The following is a 22,697-nucleotide window of genomic DNA, read 5'->3' as shown; positions in this document are numbered from 1 at the left end:
GATGCCTCCAGCTTTGTTCTTTTTGCAAGAGATTAATCTTATAAGTTCAGACTTGTAGGTATCATAACTTATAAGAATCATCCATTTACTTACCCTAAATAAATGGATTTACAAGAGATTAATTTTATATGTTCAGACTTGTAGGTATCATAACTTACAAGAATCATCCATTTACTTATGGTAAAGTCAAGAGAACAATGAAGCTGCTGTAGTGAGCACTGAATTTTAACTTGGGTTCTGAGTGGCAGTCCCAGTCAAATGCCAGTTTCATTACCCAGGTTCCATCTGGATTTAATTTTGTTTGCAGTATAGAAAAGTCTGATTTGCATGGATAAGTAATTGCAGATAAGAATAGTTTGCTAATACCTTGCAATTTCAGGATACTCTTTAATTAAATTGATCCAGAAGCCTGAAAGATGAATAGGGGGAACTTTGGTCTCCAAGGAGAATCACACTGTTTAACAAATACTTTCATTCTTTATTACAAACTGCAAGACAGATGATAATGTATGGTCACTCTTTTTATTACAATGCAGCCTGTTATGAATTCATTTGCTTTTGCATAACTGACTATTCCCCTGTGATAAGAGCATAAGCCAGCAGATGTGCCTGAGATTTACCTGGCATTTAACTGAACATACTGCAGGTGTGCTATAGCAGTATACTTGCTTGAACAGTTTTAAGGCACCAGACAAGTACAGGCCTGAATTTTTAAAAAGATAATTCCAGTTTCCTTCAGAATCAGTGACATATTTACAAGATACTAATATAAGCTTAGAATTGGCAAGAGCAGCTTTATTCTGAGGTCTACAGGAAGATAATGTGAACACATTTGTCATCATCAGTGTGCTAAAATTTCCAATAAAATTTGAATCTGTGGGAGTTTATTATAATCTCTAAAATCATTAATATATTACCTTAAAAATAAAATTGAATACTTTTTTTGCAGAGTTTTTTTTTTTTGTTTTTTTTTTTTTTTTTTGCAGAGTTTTATAGCACTCAGAACCTTTTGGTTGCTCAGAACATAGCTTGAAAATCCTGATCTTTCACATATTGCAGCCTCAGTCCTTTTATAAATGATGAGATTCAGGTCTTGGGGGTGAAGTGACTTTCCAAATGTAATTCCAGAAGTTACTGGGAAAGCCAAGAGGAAGAGTTCTTGGGTCTCTTTATGCTCCTCTAAGCTATTTTTCTCTGCTGAGCAGTTAGGACTCCTGGAGGGGGCAGGAAGCTGTGTGCTCAAGTGACATCCTTTCTTTAGTTTTGTGTGTGCATATTTGTGTAGGCACATGAATGCACTCTTGTATACCTACTAGGTGCAGTGAGAGCTGGCTTCAGGGAGAAAGGGAAATGCGTGATTTTGGGGTCCCCAGCCTGAGCCTACTTTTTCTCGCAGTATTCTTTGTTCTGGAATCTTTCTCATCACCTTTTATTGCATGGAAACTTAATCTATTCAGGTCCCAACTTTCAGGCTTCTCTGCTCTGACAAGTACTAGAGGCCAATATGATAGACTAGTCTGAGTTAAAAGGTGGCAGTGAAGGAACCAGCTACCCCTCCCTGTTTTTGTATTATCATAAGCACCTCATGGCATAGAATGCTTTCACCCCAAGCGGCTGTTTCAGGGGCACTGGCAGGTTTGGAGGGGCATTGTGTTTTGAATAGTCAGTGCCTTTTGTGCCATTAAACTCCCATGGTAGAGAGACCCAGCCTTAAGAAATAAGACTGACCCTCCATAGGGCTGCTGCTAGTCTATATATTGTCTTTGTGAAAATTAGAAAACAGCATCTTGTCTGAGTGGGGTAGCCCTGCACCAGAGAGTGTGGCCTGGCTAGTAAAAGGCAGATTGGATTTCAGCCATCACTTTCTTACCTCAGTTGGGCATTCTTGGCAGTGCCCAACCTGCCCAACCATATGCTGTAGTCCTGATTCTACCTGCTATCTTCCAGCCAAATACAGGGGCTTTGTATTCTTTTGCATTATACAGATGTGTTCATTGTGGCTGCTTAATAGACGTTTGAGTTGATCGATACTCATCGTTGACCAAATAGAGAGAATGGCACTTTGCAGGATGTTTATTTCCTGCTGTCCCCATAGCAGCAGCAACCATCAGCAACCTGTTACCTTAAGGATTCTATAGTTCATTCATTTATTAATTCAACAGCTACTTCTTAAATACCTATAATGTAAAAGGAGACAGGGTACCAAGCTACAAAGAGCACCATCTTTGGAGTCAAATCTGGGTTTGAAGTTTGTCTTTTCTGTTGATTGTCTGTGTAATATTTGACAAATTATTAAACTTTCTGAGCCTCATTTATTCGTTCATTTGCCCACTTATTCAACAGATATTTATTGAGCATTTCCCTTGGCTGGATGAAGATGGAAAAAAAAGGAAGACAGACGCAGTTCTTTCCCTCATCTCTAGTGAGGATGTGGACACAAAACAAATACATGGATCAACACATAACAATTCTAGGCTGTCATAAGTGCCCTGAGGAAAAGAAACAAGGATGTGCTAAAATGAATAGGACCTGGGGAGTGGGGGGAGGGGACACGGGAGACCGTGCCAGAGAGACAGAGCTCTTTCTTAATAGGGTCGTCAGGGTACGCCCATCAGAGGTGAGCACATAAGCAGACCCAAAGAATGGTGAGGACCTGGCCTGCAGAGAGCAGTCAGGGCTGAAGAGTCAGCTTGGACAAAGGTGGGAAGTAGTTGGTATATTTGAGGACATAAAAATATGGACTTGGGGCATAATGGAAGACAAGGTTGGAAACAGTGATGATGATAACAGTAGCAAGCACTTGTTTAGTTCCTGCTATGTCCAGACACTGTGCTGAGTGCCTTCACATACATTAACTCTTCTAATGCTGACCAAAATACTACGGAGCATGTGTTACGATCATTGTTTTACAGATGAAGAAATTGAGGCACAGATGGGATAAATAACTTACCCAGGATTTCCCAGCTGGCACGTGGTAGAGCTGGGATTCAAACACACGTGTTCTGGTTCCAGACTGTGCTTATATCTGCTATGCTGTAGTGCCAGTGAAGGCTGGGTCATGCCAGACCTCAGTTTCGTCATCAGTAAAATGGAACTAATATGTGGATTAAACAAAATGTGTATAGAATGGCAGCCACATCAAGTCATAAGCATTCATCAGGTGGACTGTATATCTAGTGGTGGTGGTGGTTGTGGTCAGCATTGTAGGAAAATACAGGGGTGCATTAGGAAGTAACCCTCTAGGGAAGGGCCGTGTATACTGATAATCGTTAATGTAAGGAGGACAGGGGTAAGGGCCCTGAGGAAAGTGTGTGCATGAACAGTGCTGCGATGGCTCTGAAGTGGGTCAGTTTGTTCCACCTGGGCAGTGTGGAGCCACTTGGGGGTGGGGGGAGGGGATCCTGCTGTTGAGTCTGGAAAAATGGGCAGGAGTCACATATACTGGAGCAGGTAGGAGGAGCATTTCCTCTGCACCATCAGGTGAGCAAAGATCTAGTGTGTACTCAGAGTTGGAAAGTGGGGTCTGGAGACAATAGCACTGGCCGTAGGAGAGAGGCAGGAACTGGAGTGAAGATAGGTTAGAGCCAGCACTCACTGGGGCTTGATGCCATTGCGAAGCTTTCAGTTTATGCATCAGGGAATGTGTGGTCCTGGGGTCCACAGCTTGGTTTAAAGATCTAATTTGGGTATCTTCTCAGCTTTCTGTGACTCTGGCTGAGCAGCAGAGAGGAATTTTGTTTTGGCTTTTATTTGATATGCTATCTGTCATCTACCTAAAGGAGCCTGCCCACCTCCTGGGTTCATACAGAGGAGAGGTACCACTATAGTGGGAAGCTTTATGACCCCACTCCTCCAGACAGGTGGTTTTATAGGTGATTGCAAATAACTGGCACAGGCTTGGAGCTAGACAGATCTGGGCTGTATAATCTGGGCTTTAACAGCATTTGACCTTGGGTCTTGTGTTTGGGCCTCATTTAGTTCCCTGTAAAGTAGGGATTTATACCATGTCTCATTGTTATATAAAGGTCAAATAAGTGCATGACACTATGTGCCTGAAGAACATGGTAAGTGCTCAGATGATGTTAGTCGGAATTACTAGATTGCATGGTGTGGAAGGCCCAGTTACCCACAGGAAGTCAGTTTGAACCGACTAATTGTCTTCTCCCATATTTTTGAGGTCAGGAAGCCTAATCAGTTGGCAGGACTCATTGGAGCCACATTGAGATGGATTTTAAAGTCATTCCCAGGCTCTGTGGGACATCAGGCCATGATGTATACACAGTTTTCTTCTTCTTGTTTTATTTTTCCTTAAGGCTTTATTTTCTTAAAGCAGTTTTAGGTTTAGAGCAAAAATTTTTTTTTTTGAGACAGAGTTTCCCTCTTGTCTCCCAGGCTGGTGTGCAATGGTGCAATCTTGGCTCACTTCCTGGGTTCAAGCGATTCCTCTGCCTCAGACTCCTAAGTAGCTGGCATTACAGGTGTGCGCCACCACACCCTGCTAACTTTTTGTATTTTTTTTTTTTTTTAGTAGAGATGGTGTTTCACTGTGTTAGTCAGGCTGGTCTTGAACTCTTGACCTCAGGTGATCCGCCCGCCTCAGCCTCCCAAAGTGCTGGGATTACAGGCATGAGCCACTGCGCCCAGCCTAGAGCAAAATTAAGAGGAAGGTACAGATCTCACACTTGCATAACCTCCCTCATAACCAACATTTCCCACCAGAATGGTACATTTGTTGCACTTGATGAACCTACACTGACATCATTATCACCCAAAGTCCATAGTTTAGATTAGGGTCCACTCTTGGAGTTGTGCATTCTATGGGTTTGGACAAATGTATGATGACATGTACCCATCATTGTATCACACAGAGTATTTTCACTGCCCTAAAAATCCTCTGTGCTTTGCCTGTTCAGCCCCTGCTGACCATGTGTATTTGCTGTCCTGGTTTTAGATCATCATTATGGGGTTGGAAAAATAGCATCCTATAAAGGTGTTTGTGGCTTTAAGTGAATGTCAGCAGTTCTACAGTCCTGTCCAGTAGATGCCATCTTTCAATTTGCTGAAGATACTGATTCTGTTTTTCTGTTACTTCAGAACAAACAGAGGAATTTTAGAAGAACTACCACCCACTTCCTCAGACTTACTGAGCACCTGCTTAGGAGCCACACATAGTTCTAAGGTTGATGCATGACATACAAAGACAAGACCCTACTTGGCCTCATAGCAGAGCACAGCTGGGGCAGTGGACCCTTGTTGTTTGTCTCTTTGATGCCGGGCTGGGTACCTTTGACATTTAGGAGGTCATGGCTAGGAATACTAGGAATCCTATAATGTGCACAGCAATAGTCCTGTGGATAGAAGAATTTTTCTATAGCCTGCATGACTTTCAAATGTCTCCCCAGACATTCTTGCAGGGAAAAAGCCTGTTCATAATTTTCTGAACCTAGAACCTGTAATTCCATTTTATGTAACGGACTTTTTGCATTGTTTTGATATACCCTTAATTTTCTAGGAATGCCACTACTTTGTAAATTGATACGATATACTATATAAGATACTACACTATTTTGTTTGTAACTTTGCCAAAAGCTGTTTACCATTTTTATAAATCACTTGCCAATGTTGGTGTGCATGTATTTGTGTCATCAAGAATAATATGCAAGTATCTGACTGCATTTATAGTTATTGCATTCAGAGTTGTTCTGTTGTTGTATTAGACTACTTCATTATGTCTTCTGATGTACTCGTGACAGAGCAATTACTATTGAAATATATATTCTTACAGATATCTTTAAATTCTTTATTTATAGTTAGGACATTATATTATGTTGAAATTGTATATAGTTTATATTATTTTTGATTTTCATTTCAGGGTAGTAAAGGGAGAGCATTATGACATAAATGTTTTAAAAAGCAGCAGGAGTCGGGGTGGGAGGCGTTGGGAACCGTTGGTCTGATGCACTGGAACCATATCAGTAAGACCTGGCAAAGTGCAGAGAAATCTGTGGGGGAAAGAGTTTAAGCTTCATTTTGTTTTAAGTCATGGCATGTGTGGCCTTGATTCTAAACTCTGTGTTTGAATAAAGTTGTTTTTGGCTGGTGGTTTCGAAGTTTTAGAAAATGGGAGTGTATGAGTAGATGTGAAGTGGTTACAGTGGTTTAGTCACAGCACCCTGGGCCTGAGAATCTTAGCCAGAGGGACTCTAATTTGTGACATAGTCACCACAGCAACCAATGGAAATGTCCCCATGTGATCTGAACCAAAGTGGTTTTGGAGTGTTAAAAAATGTGTGTTTAATAAGCTAAAATTATCTGTTAACTGTTCCAAGGGTGATTTTTGTATTTTCAAGCATGCACAATTCTAATTAAATGGCATTGTGTAATCACTTGTGGTCTCAGTGTAGTTTATAATGAGTTAGAATAATGAAGGGGTAGTGAGACTGGAAGTTAGAGACGCAGAGAGCCTTTCTGCTTAAGGTATCCTTAAACAGATAGGTGTTAGGACCAGCAAATAGTGATCCCAGAAACACAATACAATATTTAATGAAGTGCTAATTATGTTGCGTGTCAGTCATTGTAGGCTGCAATTGATGGAGCTAGGTGGTGGAGGAGGAGGAGGTTGGATTGGGATGGGCCTTGAAGGGTAGTAAGTAGAATGTTAATGGAAAGAACCTGCAATTGTTTCCTACCCCAACTTTCCAAGTTATTATTATCCACAGAGTCACATTGGCTTGTATTCCAAATTTACTTTATAGTAGCTAATAAGTATCTTTTTTATTTAGTACCTAACGTATGATTTCCACTGTGGTTGGTCCTTGACAACAGTTAGGTGAGAGCGAATTGATACTAGAGATGCAGAAATGTAAGGCTTAGAAGCTCAAGTGTCCAGGACCACACAGAGCTCATAAGTGGCAGAGCCAGGATTTAAACTCAGGTTTGACTGATGTCAAAGCCACTCCTTATGGTCTTTTTGATATTTTTGCTCTAGAGATGGTGTTCATGATTAGCTTGTTTACTTACCAACCATTTTCTATTCAGATTATAAAGCAGATCTCATTTGGCCGAGACTTGGAGATTTAAGTTTTTGATATGTAATCTATGATTGAATTTAAATGAGGTATGGTTAGAAAGTTCCAGCCCAGTTAGTAATTTAGCACCTTAAAGCATTCAACAAGCATGGTTAACCAAAAACCTAAATCATACTAAATGTTTGAAGTGGTGAACAGGAGGGAATATTTTTATATTGTTACTAGTCAGCTTTAAAAAAAAATGTGTTTATAAACTGAGAAGTCTAGGTACATGACATTTATACTCCTGATGTTTGACTGGCTTTGGAAATTCCCACGTTGTGACTTCTTGTAAGCTTGGCTGAATGAACTGACAGGGGATTCCAGCCCTTACTGTATAATTAAAGGTAAAGATACAGAATGCATCTCTCTACCTCCAACTATTGTGTAGTTAGTTGTAGCTACCAATGAAATTATCAGGTCAATGCAAAAAAACCCTTGTTTTTATTTATACAGGGTACAGGGATGGTCTGATTAGTTGTTCTCAAGTAACTAACTGGGGGGTGGGGGGCATTTAGTAGTGTTGTTGTTGTGGTTTTTTTTTTCCATAAGAACAATCAAATGAGGAAACTAATAGCACTGTGGGCTGCTTAGGGAATTTTTGTCACTGAAAGAACTGCTGCAAGCCCTGTGTCTCAGGAAGGGTGATGGAATGTCTAAATGTCCATCTGTCGGGAGAAGATTGAAGTCCCTATGCCGATCTACTCTGCTTGTGCAACTTTGTGATTTGCAGCCAGTTACTTAATCTCTCTTTACTGTTGTTGACTGAAGTCATGCTATAGCTGGTATTTCATATTACAAGGACAGAGTTCAAGAATTATCTTCTTGGTTGGAAATGGAAAGGAGGTATATCTGGAGTCAAGTCCAAATGGGTAAGCCATCTCACTCTAGAAACTCACTGTACAAAGGGACTAAGAAGGGAATAGAGAAGCTGCCTTGTTTATAAAAGGTTGATCCACTCCCAATAGTATAATCACAACAATTTCTAAGAGGTTTTATTTCAACCACTTATTTTCTTATCCCTAGGTTACACATCAGTTTGGTGAGAAGAGCTCAGTTTTTGGTTTTAGATGAGCTGAGTGCTTGTCTCAGTTCAGCCACTTGCTAGCTGCATAGCCTTATGCAAGGCACTTAAATTCTCTGAATCTCTGTTTCTTTATCTGTAAAATGATTTCCAGTGACCTACTATATACTCTAGTAGGTCACTGGAAATCAGTTAAGTTAATAGATGTGAAAGTGCTTTGTACACTTCAAAGGGCTGTCTAAATGTCTGTATGAGCCTGAAGGATAGTTGTTATGCTTTCAGTTATCAGTAGTCTAGGTGGCTGTGCAGAAAGGGAGAGGCGAGGGAGTCATATTTTTGACAACTAACTTGGGGTCCTATGATCGAAAGCCCAGAAATCCTCACTTAGATTTTTTCCCTAATGCAGCAGTCTTGTGCTGGATTTTGGAGTGTGGTAGAAACATATGCTACACTTATTAAAGGGGTTTGGCACTCTGTAATGTGGGATTACTGGCATAGAAGATGAAATGATAAAGGAACATCTCATCATATTCAGATGTGTGAGTCATGCACGCTTATGAGTTACTCTGAAAAATGGAATTATAATAGAAATGGGCATGAGTTCAACTTACATTATTTTCCTTGGCTTTAGCAGTTTTCAGGTTAAAAGTCACTGGATACATTTAACTGTCTTAAAGCATAGCATTTATAAAAAGCTTTTAGAACTTAGACTGTACAAAAGCACCTGAATTGGAAACTGTGTCTCTTATTTTTTCTATCAGTAGGATATTAGGGACAGTTTTGCACTGGACCTGTTCCTGTGTACTGCCTTGATACTTAACTCAGTCAGTGAATCAGTAAGCAGGAATATATGGACTCCTATAACCCTATTGGCCTTCAGGGAGCTTCATGGTCATTTATTCTGCCTGCCTGTTTTACAGTGGGGAAAACTGAGGGCCAGAAGGGTTCCTTGAATTATCCAAGGCCCAAGGTTAGGTTCTGGCAGAGGCAGGGTTAGAACTCATTCAGTCCACACCATGCTGTCTCCAGTGTATATGTGCTGGATGAGAAATTTTCCACTGCCAGCATTAATTTAATTTAATTTAATTTTAGTTTGGTCTAGTGTAGTCTAGTCTTGGATTAGTTTAAGACAGAGTCTTGCTGTGTCGCCCAGGCAGGAGTGCAGTGGCATGATCTCGACTCTTTCCAATCTCTGCTTCCTAGGCTTAAGCAATTCTCGTGTAGTTCTCAGCCTCCCAAGTAGCTGGGACTACAGGTATGTGCCACCACACCCAGCTAATTTTTATGTTTTATGTAGAGATGAGGTCTCGCCATGTTGCCCAGGCTGGTCTTGAATTCCTGGGCTCAAGTGATCCACCTGCCTTGGCCTCCCAAAGTGCTAGGATGACACATGTGCCACCACACTTGTCCTGTTTATTCCATTTAAATTACAGTTCATTTTGTGTAAGCCACTTTTCCCTGTTTCCGTCAATTTCAGATTTGGAAATACTTTTCAAGGATTATCCTTAATACTACATCTCCTCTTTATGCTTAAAAATTTTGTTTGATTCTTTAACCAGAAATGATCATAGTGATTTTTAACTTTCAATAGGGAGCTACTTTTTCATTAATTACTTGGGTCATATTTGTCACTTGATTCTTAGCACTTTTTTCTTTTGATGTCGTTTATTATTTATTGAGAAACATTTGAGTTCTTACTCTGTGCCAGGCCCTGTGCTTAGCAGGTGCTGGAGGTGAGAAGGCACTAAGTGATGGAAGGACCTCATCCAAGAACCCGACTCTGTCCTGAGAGGATCTAGGGTGTCCGTCAGGCCCCACCCCATTTGACTTAGGACCATTATTGTTTTTATAGTAGCTACTTGAAAGACTCATTAGGAAAAGTCATGCTTTTGTTCATTTCTGTTTTCAACCTAGCTAAGGAGACATATATTACAAGTAAATAATGGCACAAATTGGCAAATGATGAAAGTCCAGGGGATTATTGCCTAGGTAGAATTTTAGAAAGATGATGTGGAGAAATAGGAACACTTTTACACTGTTGGTGAGACTAAACTAGTTCAACCATTGTGGAAGACAGTGTGGCGATTCCTCAGGGATCTAGAACTAGAAATATCATTTGACCCAGCCATCCCATTACTGGGTATATACCCAAAGGAATATAAATCATGCTGCTATAAAGACACATGCACACGTATGTTTATAGCGGCACTATTCACAATAGCAAAGACTTGGAACCAACCCAAATGTCCATCAATGATAGACTGGATTAAGAAACTGTGGCACATATACACCATGGAATACTATGCAACCATAAAAAACGATGAGTTCATGTCCTTTGTAGGGACATGGATGAAGCTGGAAACCGTCACTCTCAGCAAACTGTCGCAAGGACAAAAAACCAAACACCGCATGTTCTGACTCATAGGTGGGAATTGAACAATGAGAACACTTGGACACAGGAAGAGCAACATCACACACCAGGGCCTGTTGTGGGGTGGGGGAAGTGGGGAGGGATAGCGTTAGGAGATATACTTAATGTAAATGACAAGTTAACAGGTGCAGCACACCAACATGGCACATATATACCTATGTAACAAACCTGCACGTTGTGCACATGTACCCTAGAACTTAAAGTATAATAATAAAAAAAAAGGTAAAAGGAGCCAGGTGAAATTAATATCCTATTTCAACATGTAATCAATATGAGAATTGTTTATGAGATACTTATAAATTTTTCTTCTTCGAAAAAAAAGTTGCTGCCATTCAAGATGGTCTTTAAAGAAGCGTAGTATTTGATTACTGGAGAGGATAAGGTAATTGATTTTTTTTCAAGTTTCAGTTATTTGTTAATGTAATCTCCAACACATTATATCAACATGATTTCATGTATCTAAAGGAGAAATATTTCCTAGTTAAGTGGAAAATAGTGCAGCTAGCTTCTGGAAGATCTTCATTCTAAGCAGCTTTATAGTGAAACATTTCATTTAGAAATCTGGACCATCTTTCTTCAGTTTACTGTAATCCACATTCACTGAGTAGAACTTGTATTGCTCATTGGAACCCAGTTTATTCCAGGGCCCTGGGTCATTCTTTCTGGCCCAACTAACATCTGGATTGAAATGCCAGATGCAAGACATACAGTGCTGCTCTGGTACCTCTAGCTCCATTAAATACAAAGAGGGGGATCAAACTCAGTTCCTTGGCCTGACCAAGGACCTGGTGGAGCATGTTTTCAGCAAGGGCATCTGATTTAAAAGGAGAGAACTAGCTTAGCTGCCAGGCCCTTGACTAAGTAGTATCTCAGAATAAAGTAATTGAAAATTAATGAGTATCTACTTAGGGTCTCTAAATATATTTAATTTTCTATGGAGGGAACTTTTTAAATTGAAAAATGTATCAACATAGAGAAGACTATGTAAACAGTATGTGTATAGTTAGAGAAAAATACCTATGTATCCACCATTCAGGTTAAGAAAGAGAACATTACTGGTATCTTAGAAATCACCTGGTAGTCCCCTCCACTGCACTTCCCTCAGAGGTAACAGTCACCCCCACTTTGGTATTAATCATGCCCTTTCTACCAGTGTATATGTCCCCAGAGCAAGCATAAACCTAGGTGTATAAGGAAAGGGCAGTGATGCCATCTCTAGATGAAGGCTCCCAGGAGAAGAGCTTCATGGTCTCTGGTTGAATTCATTACCCCTGTGTCTGAACAGAAACTCTGGGTCAAGTCTGGATCCAGAGTTGAGAGGTTGCAGGGACCCTTTTGGGAAAGTCAGTGGAAAAGATCATGAATGAGTTGTGGGAAACAGGGCTTCTCATAGTTGGAGGTACCTAGAAGACTGCAGTGGGCCCAGCTGTTGGGAGCCTGGGAGGAGTGGAGTCAAGAGGAATGTGCTGCTCCACCCTGGCTTATGTCCAGCTCTCAGGAATAGGCCAAATGGAATACTTCTGCGGGGTGAAATAGTCTTCTGCTGATTCAGGCAGCAGGACACAGCAGGGGAACAGGAATTTCATCAGTGCATGATTAAGAAAAACCAAATTCCATTAGGAATTTGGTCCAGGCTCACCCAGGCATTCTACCCTCAATGCAGTCTACGGGGATCTTGGCAGTGACTGCCCTCAACATAAGTATCCCTCAAGTTGCCCTGCTCACATGGGGATTGGTCATCCTCTGAGGCTGGCCACAGCTTTTGTGTTGAGACCGCTCTGTTCTGTGCTCCTGGGAGTTCCCTTCACTTCCTCTTTGTTTAATCTTTATTTCCTGTGTTGGAGCCTGTCTCCTGTTATTTTCAGAAGGATGCATAGCAGTTTGTTTTTTGAGATCTTTGATGTCTAACTGTATCTTGATTCTTCCTTCATACTTCGTTGATAATTTGGCTGGTTATAGACTTCTGGGTTGGAAGTTGTTTCCCTTCAGAATTTTGCAGGCATTGGGTGCCTGTCTCTTTCCTTGGTGCAGCTGTTAAAAAGCCTGAGAATATTCTCAATTTTTGATCTTTTGAATGTAGCCTGTTTTATTCTCTTTTGGAAGCTTTATAGACCCTTGTTTCCAATGTTATGAAATTTCCCAGGAATGCCCCAAACAGGTCTTTTTCTCCATTGTTTTGATGGGCCTTTCCAACCTGGCAACTGGTAGCCTTTGGTTCTGGGAAATCTTTCTCAAATGGTTTTGCTGATGATTTTCTCCCCTCCACTTTCTTTGTCTTTTCTTTAGGAATTCAGACATGTGACTGTCTGGATTGCCCCCTTTAATTTTCTTATCTCTTTTCTCCTATTTTCAAACTGTTCTTTTCTAACCTATTTCCTAAACTTTTTTTTTTTTTTTTGAGAAAGGGTCTCACTCTGTCACCCAGGCTGGATGGAGTTCAGCGGCAGAATCTCGGCTCACTGCAACCTCTGCCTCCCGGTTCAAGCGATTCTCCCACCTCAGCCTCCTCAGTAGCTGGGACTACAGATGCATGCCACCACACCTGGCTAATTTTTGTATTTTTAGCAGAGACAGGGTTTCACTATGTTGGTCAGGGTGATCTTGAACTCCAGACCTCAAGAGATCCCCCTGCCTCAGCCTCCCAAAATGCTGGGATTATAGTCATGAGCCACTGCGCCTGGCCTTTTCCTAAACATTATCTTCCAACCTTTTTAGCTTTTGAAAATTAAGATATTATTTACCTACAGCAAAGCTTATCAATGCTAAGTGTTCCTTTGGCTGTTTTGACAATCATATAGGCTTGTGCAGTTACCACCCTAAACAAAATATAGAACATTTCTATCAACCTAGAAGTTCCGTAGGGCCCTTTCCCAGCTGTGTTTTCATTTCTGTTATTATCTTTTTAATATTCGAGAGCTCCTTTTTTCTCTGAAATGTTACTTTAAAAAAGAAACATTTTATTCTTGATTCACAAATAAAAGGTATTCTTTTATCTTTCTGAAGACATTAATTTTTAAAGTTTTCTCTCTGTGTAATGTTTTCTCTGAGTTGCTTTTTTCTATCTCCATGTCTGCATTAGAGGCTTTCCTCAGACATATGTTTACCTTGGCTGTTTGTTTATGATTAAACTTGGAGGAAGGCTGAGCATGTGCCTCGGGCTTGTGAACTTTGAACGTCACTAAGAGTGAGCCATTCATTGGGGAACTCCCAGCCTCTGTGTCTTTAGGTCAGTCCTGGTGAGATGGTCACATTCCTCAGAAGACAGTATTCCAGTCTCTCACCTGGAGGGCTAGGGACTGGCTGCCAGCATTTCTGGAGCTGCAGGGAAGAGGGTGAAGGCTGTAGCATCCTGGCCCCCAGCACTCAGCATGTGTGCAGATGCCGTCTTTCTGCGTGCCCAGAGGTTCCCATGCTTCACCTGACATCTCTAGTTACAGGACCCTTTGTCTTATCCTTTCCAGAAACTAAACCTCTAGATATGTGTTTCCTTATAATAAAATAGTCACTAGCCACATGGTAGCCACTTAAATTTAAATTAACATTTAATAAAATTAAGAAATCGGTTTCTCAGTTACAGTAGCCATCTTTTAAATGCCTGGTAGCCACATGTGACTGGCTGCCGTACTGGACACAGCACAGATACAAAACGTTTCCATTATTGTGGACCATTTTACTGGACAGTGCTGGTCTAGACTTTTGCTGGGGCAGAGGAGTGGCCAACGGGATTCTTTTTCTCAAACACCTTTCTCTGGCCCTCTTTCTTCACCCCAGTTACTGGTGCTTCCTTCCAGTTCCTGTGACTTTGGAGACTTCTGTGGTATACGTTAATTTGGTTATCAGCTTTTGCCATTGTCAGCTTGGGATTCAGTATTTGTGGATTATCGAAGTCAATTTTTTTTTTACATATCCAACTACTTTCCAGTTTCCAAAGTTGTAGTTTTCTCCTCTTCTTTTCCCCTTACATATTTGTGAATTTGGTCTTAAACAGAAAAGCCATGCTGTATTTATTATACTACTTTATATATTTTAAAAATATGTACTATATTTTAGTGGAGTTTCAGAAGGGAGTGAAATTGGGTATTTCTGTTCAATCTGCCATTTTAGCTGGGAATCCTGCCTCATTTACCTTCACAATCCTATAAGGTATATATGTGGTTATTCTCATTTTATAGTGAAGAGAGGCAGGTAAAATAATTGACTCAAGGTCACATAGCTAGTAAGTGGGATTTGAAGTTGGATCAGACTTAAAAAATCAGAGAGCTTTTTTTATTAAATAGTGTTGTGCCTTATCTTGTATTGAGGAAAGACCCACCCATCACACGTTCCCCAAGTTGCAATACTATAGTTATAGTTGTGTTTTAAATACCATGTGTTTGGCTGGGCACAGTGGCTCATGCCTGTAATCCTAGCACTTTGGGAGGCAGAGATGGGTGGATCACTTGAGGTCAGGAGTTCAAGACCAGCCTGGCCAACATGGTGAAACCCCATCTCTACTAAAAATACAAAAATTAGCCGGGCATGGTGGTGCACACCTGTAATCCCAGCTACTCAGGAGACTGAGGCAGGAGAATCACTTGAACCCCAGAGGCAGAGGTTGCAGTGAGCTGAGATCACGCCACTGCGCTCCAGCCTGGGTGACAGATGAGACTCTGTCTCAAAAAAACAAAACAAAACCATGTATTTGCCCAGATACTTCCCAGTTATCCTTACAACCACTTAATAAAAGAGGTCAGCCTTGGATAGTTCTGTCTCAGAAAGGTTCTTTTCTCCTCAGCTGTTTATTTCGTTGTTTTGGGACTTTACAACCTCTAAACTTTGTGTTAGCTTTTTCTTTAGCAGTTCTCAAAGTGTTTAGAGTCAGAAGCATTCCATTGTTTAACTTAAACCTTTTATTTGAAGCATCTATGGTCATTCTCTTATATTAAAATTGTTCCCTCTTCATTTAACCTCACTTTCCATAAGGCAGCGAGTAGATCGTGTTTATTTTTGAATCCCTAGTGCCTGGCCCCTTGTCTGAGGTAGGGGATTCATAGTGTTTGGTTCAACATCATCTTTTATTTGGACCATTGCAGTTGCTTCCAAACTGCTGGTCTCTGCCTTCTGTCAGCTGCTCTCAAAATGACCTGACATTGGTCTTTCTCAAAATCAACAATCACTGGCCTCCTCTAACCTGCATTGTAGAGTCTTGGCTACTCAGCATGGTCTAGAGGGTTGACCACGCCTGCCTCTGTCCACTGCTGTAGCCCCATGTCTGGCCACTCACCCCCCAACGCACCCTCCAGTGCACCAATGTGCACTTTGTGAAAGGACCACTACATGCTCTCAAACTTGTGCTCTTATTTCTGCCAGAAATGTGCTATCTCCAGTCCCACCTATTTCTGTTATTTAATATCTATTTTTCTGCAAATCCCAGCCCCAGGACATTCTCTGTGAAACCTCGTCTGATCCACCCTTATATGGAGTTAGAAGATTATTTTTGCTCCCACACACTTCCTTTCAATTCCTCCCTCCCTCCCTCCCTCCCTCCCTCCCTTCTTTCCTTCCTTCCTTCCTTCCTTCCTTCCTTCCTTCCTTCCTTCCTTCTTTCCTTCCTTCCTCCCTTCCTCCCTCCCTCCCTCCCAAATGGAATCTTGCCATATGTATTATTCTGCAGTTTGATTTTTCTCCTTAATACGAAGCTTATCATGTTGTAACTATTGAATGATTAGTCAGTTCTATTAGTGTCTGGTTCATAGGAATTATTATCATTGTATGACCAATTTCTAGCACAGAGGCTGGCACATTGTAGGCACACAAAAATTATTTATTGAGTGAAATTGAGCCATGGTGTTGAGTGAGTCCATGGCAGTTCACTTGCCATTTATTGTCTTTGAATTCTGCTGTCAGTAGGGTGGTCATATGTTCCAGTATATGCCTATTCCTATTTTCCCAGCATAGTTATGAATAGTTCCTGATGTTTTAATATCTCCTAGTTGGTACAGTAAATTATATGGACACCCCAGCCTGGGCAATAAGGCGAGACCCTGTCTCTACAAAAAAATAGAAAAATTAGCCAGGCGTGATGGTGTGCACGCCTGTAGTCTCGGCTATTCTGGACGTTGAGGTGGGAGGATTCAGCATTGAGCCTGGGAGGCCAAGATTGCAGTGAGCCAAGATTGTGCCACTGCACTCCAGCTTGGGTGACAGAGTGAGACCTGTCTCAAAAAAACTTATATATAATTTTTATATGTATATGGCCACCCTACCAATTAAACAGATCTAAGTGGAAGCTCATTTTACCTTATCCAGTGGAACAGCTAGAGAGTAATAAATATTTGGGGTATGAGGTTGCATTTGAAACATTGAATCCAGTTTCTTTCCAGCCAGCCAATCAGCAAAGCCCCAAATCACACACTGGAAAAAATTACCTTTGATGCATCTTCAAAGCCTAAATGTTTCATGTTCCAGAAGGACTGCTGATTCCTTTTAGAAGTACTTTTACAAGAAGTGGTTTACCTTTCAGAAATGGACCTTTTTTTGTTGTTCTGCCGCTTCCCAGCAGTATGACCTTGGCAAAGTTCTCCCGGAATGTAAAATGGGGATGAGAGTAGTCCTGCTTTACAGGGTTAATGTGGCAATTGAGATCATTCATGTAGAGTGATTAGCATTGTTAGTGGCATAGTAAGTGCTTAGCAAATATCAGCTTTTATTATTGGTGTTATGATCGTGACCATTACTATCTTTTGACATAGACTAGTTTAGAAGACGTTGGTTATGGTCTTGAAAGGAGTGACTAGGATCTGCCCCACAGCTTTCTGATTGCAATGTGTATGCCCTTAACTGCCTGTCAATGCAGGATGCTACTGCACTGTAGAGGATGGAAAAAGAAAATCAGTAAGAAGAAATCATGTGTGGGTTGCAAAGGAGAGAGTAGAATGACATAACTGTGGTTGCTAGTGAGTCAGGGGCTAGCTGTGTCTACCTTGGAAATCTTGGGTGGGTCAGATTTGGATTGACATTAGAACAGATGGGCCTCAGAATCACCTGGAGAGTTCAAAAAATTGTCTACTCTGGGTTCCAGCCTCGGAGACCCTGATGGATGTAGGGTAAGGATTGGAATTCATATATTTTTAAAAAGCTCCCAGGTAATTCTGATACACAGCTGGGTTTGAGAATTACTCGATGGAGTGACCATTTATTACCTAATAATTCTGTAAAGCATTTCCTGATCATTTGCTATTTAATGTAAGGCAGATGATGACATAGGGGTCAGAAAACAGAGGAAGATTATTGGAGAGCCTGAATTAATGGAATTAAATTTTATGAGAGTTTTGAATTTAAGCCTGTCATGAATCTGTGTTGTTGTTGTCTAGGATCCTTGCCTATATTTAGATCATTTGAAATGAAATAACAGAAAATTGTGAAATCAGGAACAAAGTCCTGTTAGAAATGTAAAATAATCAAAATATGAACCTAGCTATGCTTGGATTTAAAACTGAAAGGTAGATATTTTCTCCTGACATTTGAAAATGTTTTCAACTTTTATTGCTCTTACTGGAAAGGAGAAAGAACTTAGCTAGGTGCATATCATGGATACTTGACTGGGTCCAGGTCATTACTTAGATGATTTAATGGAAGGGCATTGGGTTAGGAGTCAGTAGACCTGCGTGGAGTCTCAGCTCAGATACTTCTCTTTGCAAAACCTGAGTTAGTTACTTCAGTCATCTTTTTGGCATGTATTTACATATCTGTAAAACGGAGACAATGTTATTGGCCTCTATCCGGCATGATATTGTTGGGGGTGTAATGAGGACATGTATGTGATAGGAATGTAAAGCTGTGATGAACACAGAGAGTGACCATATGTCTCTGTTTGCCTGGGGCAGCCCCAGTTTACACCTGTTGTTGGGTATAATTATTGATAGCACACTCTTTAACTCTCAGGTATCCCAGTTTGGCTGATAAATTATATGGTCACCCTGTATTCATAACACCCATCTATTGTTTACTATTAATCTTTCGAAGTAGGAAGGTTTTCTGGCCTCATTCCTGTGGCCCCAAATCCCTCACCAAATAAGTATTTCTTAGATGCTTTCTGGTAGTTTTCTTCAATTTTATGTGAATTTCATCTCTCCAACTACATTGGTCAGTAGATAATAATTGTTTTTTTTTTTCACTCCTGAATAATTTTCTTGTTTATCATGGTATTAGCATTTTAAACATTCTAATTGCCCATTTTGGTTGGTGCATCTTAAGAAAGTAAATTTGAAGTGCAGGCAGAGGACAGAGGAACCCCAGCGGGAAATGGCTTTGTGGAAGTACACTAAAAATGAAGAGTACAGTTTGTTTGCTGATGTTCTGACTTGGTGTTTTGGAATCTAAATGCCCTATGTTGATTTTTTTTTTTTTTTTTTTTGAGACAGAGTCTTGCTTTGTCATCCAGGCTGGAGTGCAGTGGCGCAATCTCGACTCAGTGCAACCTCTGCCTCCCAGGTTCAAACTATTCTCCTGCGTCAGTCTCCTACTGTAATCTCAGTAGCTGGGACTACAGGCGCTCGCCACCATGCCTGGCTAATTTTTGTATTTTCAGTAGAGACAAGGTTTCGCCATGTTGGCCAGGCTGGTCACGAACTCCTGACCTCAAGTGATCAGCCCGCCTTAGCCTCCCAAAGTGCTGGGATTCCAGGCGTGAGCCACCACACCTGGCCATATGTTGATATTTCTAAGTACAGCGTTAACTCTTCAAAGTAATTGGGAAGACCACAAAAGCTCTAGATGAAATTTCAAATCTCCCTCTTCCCCCGGAGAAATTTAAGAACTACCATCAGAAAAACTTTTCATTCCTCAAATAACATTTTCTTTTCCCTTTTTTGACAACGAGAGCAATGCATTTGATCATGTTTCTCCCCTGCTTTTTTTTTGACCCCTAGGAAACTCAAAGCCAAATTCGTAGCCCATCCTTAATGTCTATGTGGAAAGCAGTAGACTACAAATAACTTTCCACTAGCCTTGACTTTTTGTCCCGTATTACAATCTCCTTAGTCCTGGATTTTAAAAATACGTATTTCTGTTTTATTCAATGTGTTCTTATAAACTGCCTTGGAATCTTGTGGGTTAAGTTAAAGATTAAATAAATAACGAATATAAAGATGGTATCATAGTTTCAACATTATTTTCATGAAATTGTTTGAAATTTAGAAGGCACAAGCTTTTGTGGTACAGAGACCTATACTGCCTGAGAGTCAATAAAGAATATACTCTGGTCTACCATCCCACTGAGGAGGTCACCTCCCACCAGAACAGGGCTAAAGAGAGCAAATTACCTCCATATGTTGCCTATTAACCTCTTGGACAAATGATTGGTAACACTTAGTGTATGCAGGTGGGAATAAGAGCAAGCGCCTGTCTTATTTTTTTGAGACCCTGTCTTATTTTTTTGTGTGATGGTCTCACTGTTGTCCAGGCTGGAGTGCAGAGGTGCTGTCACAGCTCATTGCAGCCTCGACCTCCCAGGCTCAGGTGATCCTCCCACTTCAGCCTCCCAAGTAGCTGGGACTACAGGCATGTGCCACCACACCTGGCTAAATTTTTTTTTTTTTTTTGGAGAGAGGGGGTTTCACTATGTTGCCTAGGCTGGTCTTGAACTCCTGGCCTCAAGAGATCCTCTTGCCTCATCCTTCCAAAGTGCTGGGATTACAAGCGGGAGCCACTGTGCCTGGCCTAGAAGATCTGTTTTCTTTTCTCTGAATAATTCTTGTGACACTGTCTCTCCCTCCATCTCTTTCTGTTTCTTTGTCATTTTTCCCAGCTATCCTTTTTTCCTTGTCTTGTCCTCTTCTCCCCTCCATCCTAAAACCTTTGATCACAAGCTAGTTTCCTTTCCACATCATCTGCTCCCCTCTACTAAACGCTATTTCGCCCCCACCTGCTTTCAGCTGTGCTTGCCTCTGAGCCCCTCTTTCACCACGGCCCAGATGGGGTGCACGTGCCAGCTTCCCTGTCAGCAGCTCTTGTGAGCAGCAACTGCTGCTAACAAGCTTCCCGAAAACTAGGAAAAGAGATACACCATTAAATACCAAGCAGTAATTTGGAGACAAAAGAAAACATCACATCTGATTGGAATGCCTTACGTTGCATCCAGATAGTTTGGTAGGAAGGAGAAATAAAAATGTGGCGGATAGCTAGCATAATGCTAGATAGCAGTAGCAGTAGAATCTCAGTTCTTCTGTCTTTTTGTAATTAGCTCGTTCGTTCGTTCATTCATTCATTCATTCTTTCACTCAGCAACCACTTATCTGTGTCTGTTATATTGCCAGTAGTGTTTTCTTGGGTCTGGGCTTTTTGATGATAGAGCTTTCTGAGACCTGGGACCTGGCCTGGGAATTTAGTATTCGCTTGCTTTCTGGGCTGGAGAAAGACTGCCTCTAATTATACAGTTTCTCCTATGCATAGAGGTTATATTCATAAATACAGTGTACACTGAATCTTTATTTTAACAAGGGGTGTGTGTGTGTGTGTGTATGTTTGCCATGAACATACACACAGTATATTCTAAAAATTGTGGGCATATGCTTCCATTTTAACAAGCTTGAAATACAGCAATTTGAATATCTGATTAAGATTATTCAAATACTATTTTACTAGTAAAAGGAATAAAAACCTGAAGACTAGGCAAGATAGAAGACTTAACCATCTGCTTCTGCTCTGGGGTTTTTGGGACCTTCTCCCAAAAGCACTAATTTAAGTAAAACATAATTAATATATATATTTTTCAATCTACGTAGTAAAACTTTTACTAATTGGAACAAATGAGAAGGAAGACTTGCCTGAACATATTGAAAGCTGCACAGTAGAATATGTAAAAAGGAATGGCACAAGTGGAAATGGTGGCTCAGTAGAGAGCCCCATATCATGTTGAGATGAATAAGGATAGAGCTGAATAGATGCATCATTTTGAGAGGGTCACTGCCGTGAGAGTAAGTACCAGAAAAACTAGCCTTATAAGCCTTATATATGGCTTAATAGAGGTTTAATGTTTAAGAATTTGATAAGAATTACTTGTGATTAGTGCATTAAAGTTCTAACCTGAGCAGTACTGACTTGACTTCTCTTTATATTACCAATACTATTTAGAGATAAATGGGTATTCCTAAAGTGTCTGAAATGTTCTGTCTGTTAAGGAGGTCAGTAGTCTACTTTGTCACTTTTTTTTCTTTACCAGTTTCATTTTTGGACAGATGGTACAATGCTCTATACACTTGTGAGCATGTCTCAAGTTCCATATTCGAAAAATATGATTTAAAAGTGTTTAGGCTAGTGAGAATAACAGAGTTAAGAGTCATAATTGTATTTCAATTAATGAATACAGTTTTGGTGTGAGCTGGGTCTACTTTGCTTTTTAGTAGTCCATATTACTTGATAGTAAAGAGACATGTGCGTTTCAGTAGTATGTGTTTTATTACACTTGGAGGTAACTTCTGTGTCCTTTCAGGGGCTCCACCTATAAAATTAGGGAGATCCTGGCATGTCAGGGCTGAGGGTACACTCATAACACATCTTGTTTTTTTTAACTTTAAGTTCAGGGGTACATGTGCAGGTTTGTTATATAGGTAAACTTGTGCCATGCATGTTTGTTGTACATATTATTTCATCACCCAGGTATTAAGCCTAGCACCCATTAGTTATTTTTCCTGATCCTCTCCCTCCTCCCACCCTTCACCCTCCAATTGGCCCCAGTGTGTGATGTTCCCCGCTGTGTGTCCAAACATATCTTATTTGTATGTCTTATTGAACCTGGGCTCAGGGAGGTGAAAGGATTTATTATGGCAGAGCCTTTAACGGGTCCAGCACTTTTTCTAAATTCTACTTTGCTGTAGGTCTGAGAAAAGCCCAGAAGTTTATTGTGCTAGAACAATGTTATTCTCTCTTTCAGAATCAAAACCTTTCAGAACCCAGCCTTTTCATTTTCTAATAGCTATTCCTCCCTAAAGGATGCCAGGAGGAATATGTAAGTATATTTAGATAGAACGTATGCATACATCTCCATGTCTTAGAAACACCTCCACTTCCAACCCCATGTACTGTTATTTTCATTTCAGAACTGGAATTAGGCTGTGGAAGCATCTGAATTGTTCCCCTCCCTATCATCTTTTCTCTTTTTACAAATACAGTTTTACCAAAACAAACCCAGTTATAA

General features: G+C 40.7%; 1 protein-coding gene and 1 pseudogene across 11 annotated transcripts in view, besides 1 other annotated feature; one reads left to right on the top strand and one right to left on the bottom strand.

The window, feature by feature from the left end:
- The window catches only part of JAK1 (Janus kinase 1), a 234,518-nt gene that overhangs the window by 137,986 nt on the left and 73,835 nt on the right, over positions 1–22,697 (top strand). The window lies entirely within an intron of this gene.
- LOC100130270 (cytochrome c oxidase associated subunit FA4 pseudogene) lies at positions 10,920–11,392 on the bottom strand (annotated as a pseudogene).
- Positions 13,561–13,855: an enhancer, noted in NCBI's record as "tiled region #6411; HepG2 Activating DNase unmatched - State 1:Tss". NCBI's record gives its function as "activates a minimal TATA promoter and a strong SV40 promoter by Sharpr-MPRA in HepG2 cells {active_cell/tissue: HepG2}" and the evidence as "EXISTENCE:reporter gene assay evidence [ECO:0000049][PMID:27701403]".

This window comes from Homo sapiens, chromosome 1, assembly GCF_000001405.40.
Source record: "Homo sapiens chromosome 1, GRCh38.p14 Primary Assembly".
NCBI lineage: Eukaryota > Metazoa > Chordata > Mammalia > Primates > Hominidae > Homo > Homo sapiens.
This window is presented reverse-complemented; position numbering and strand designations above follow the sequence as displayed.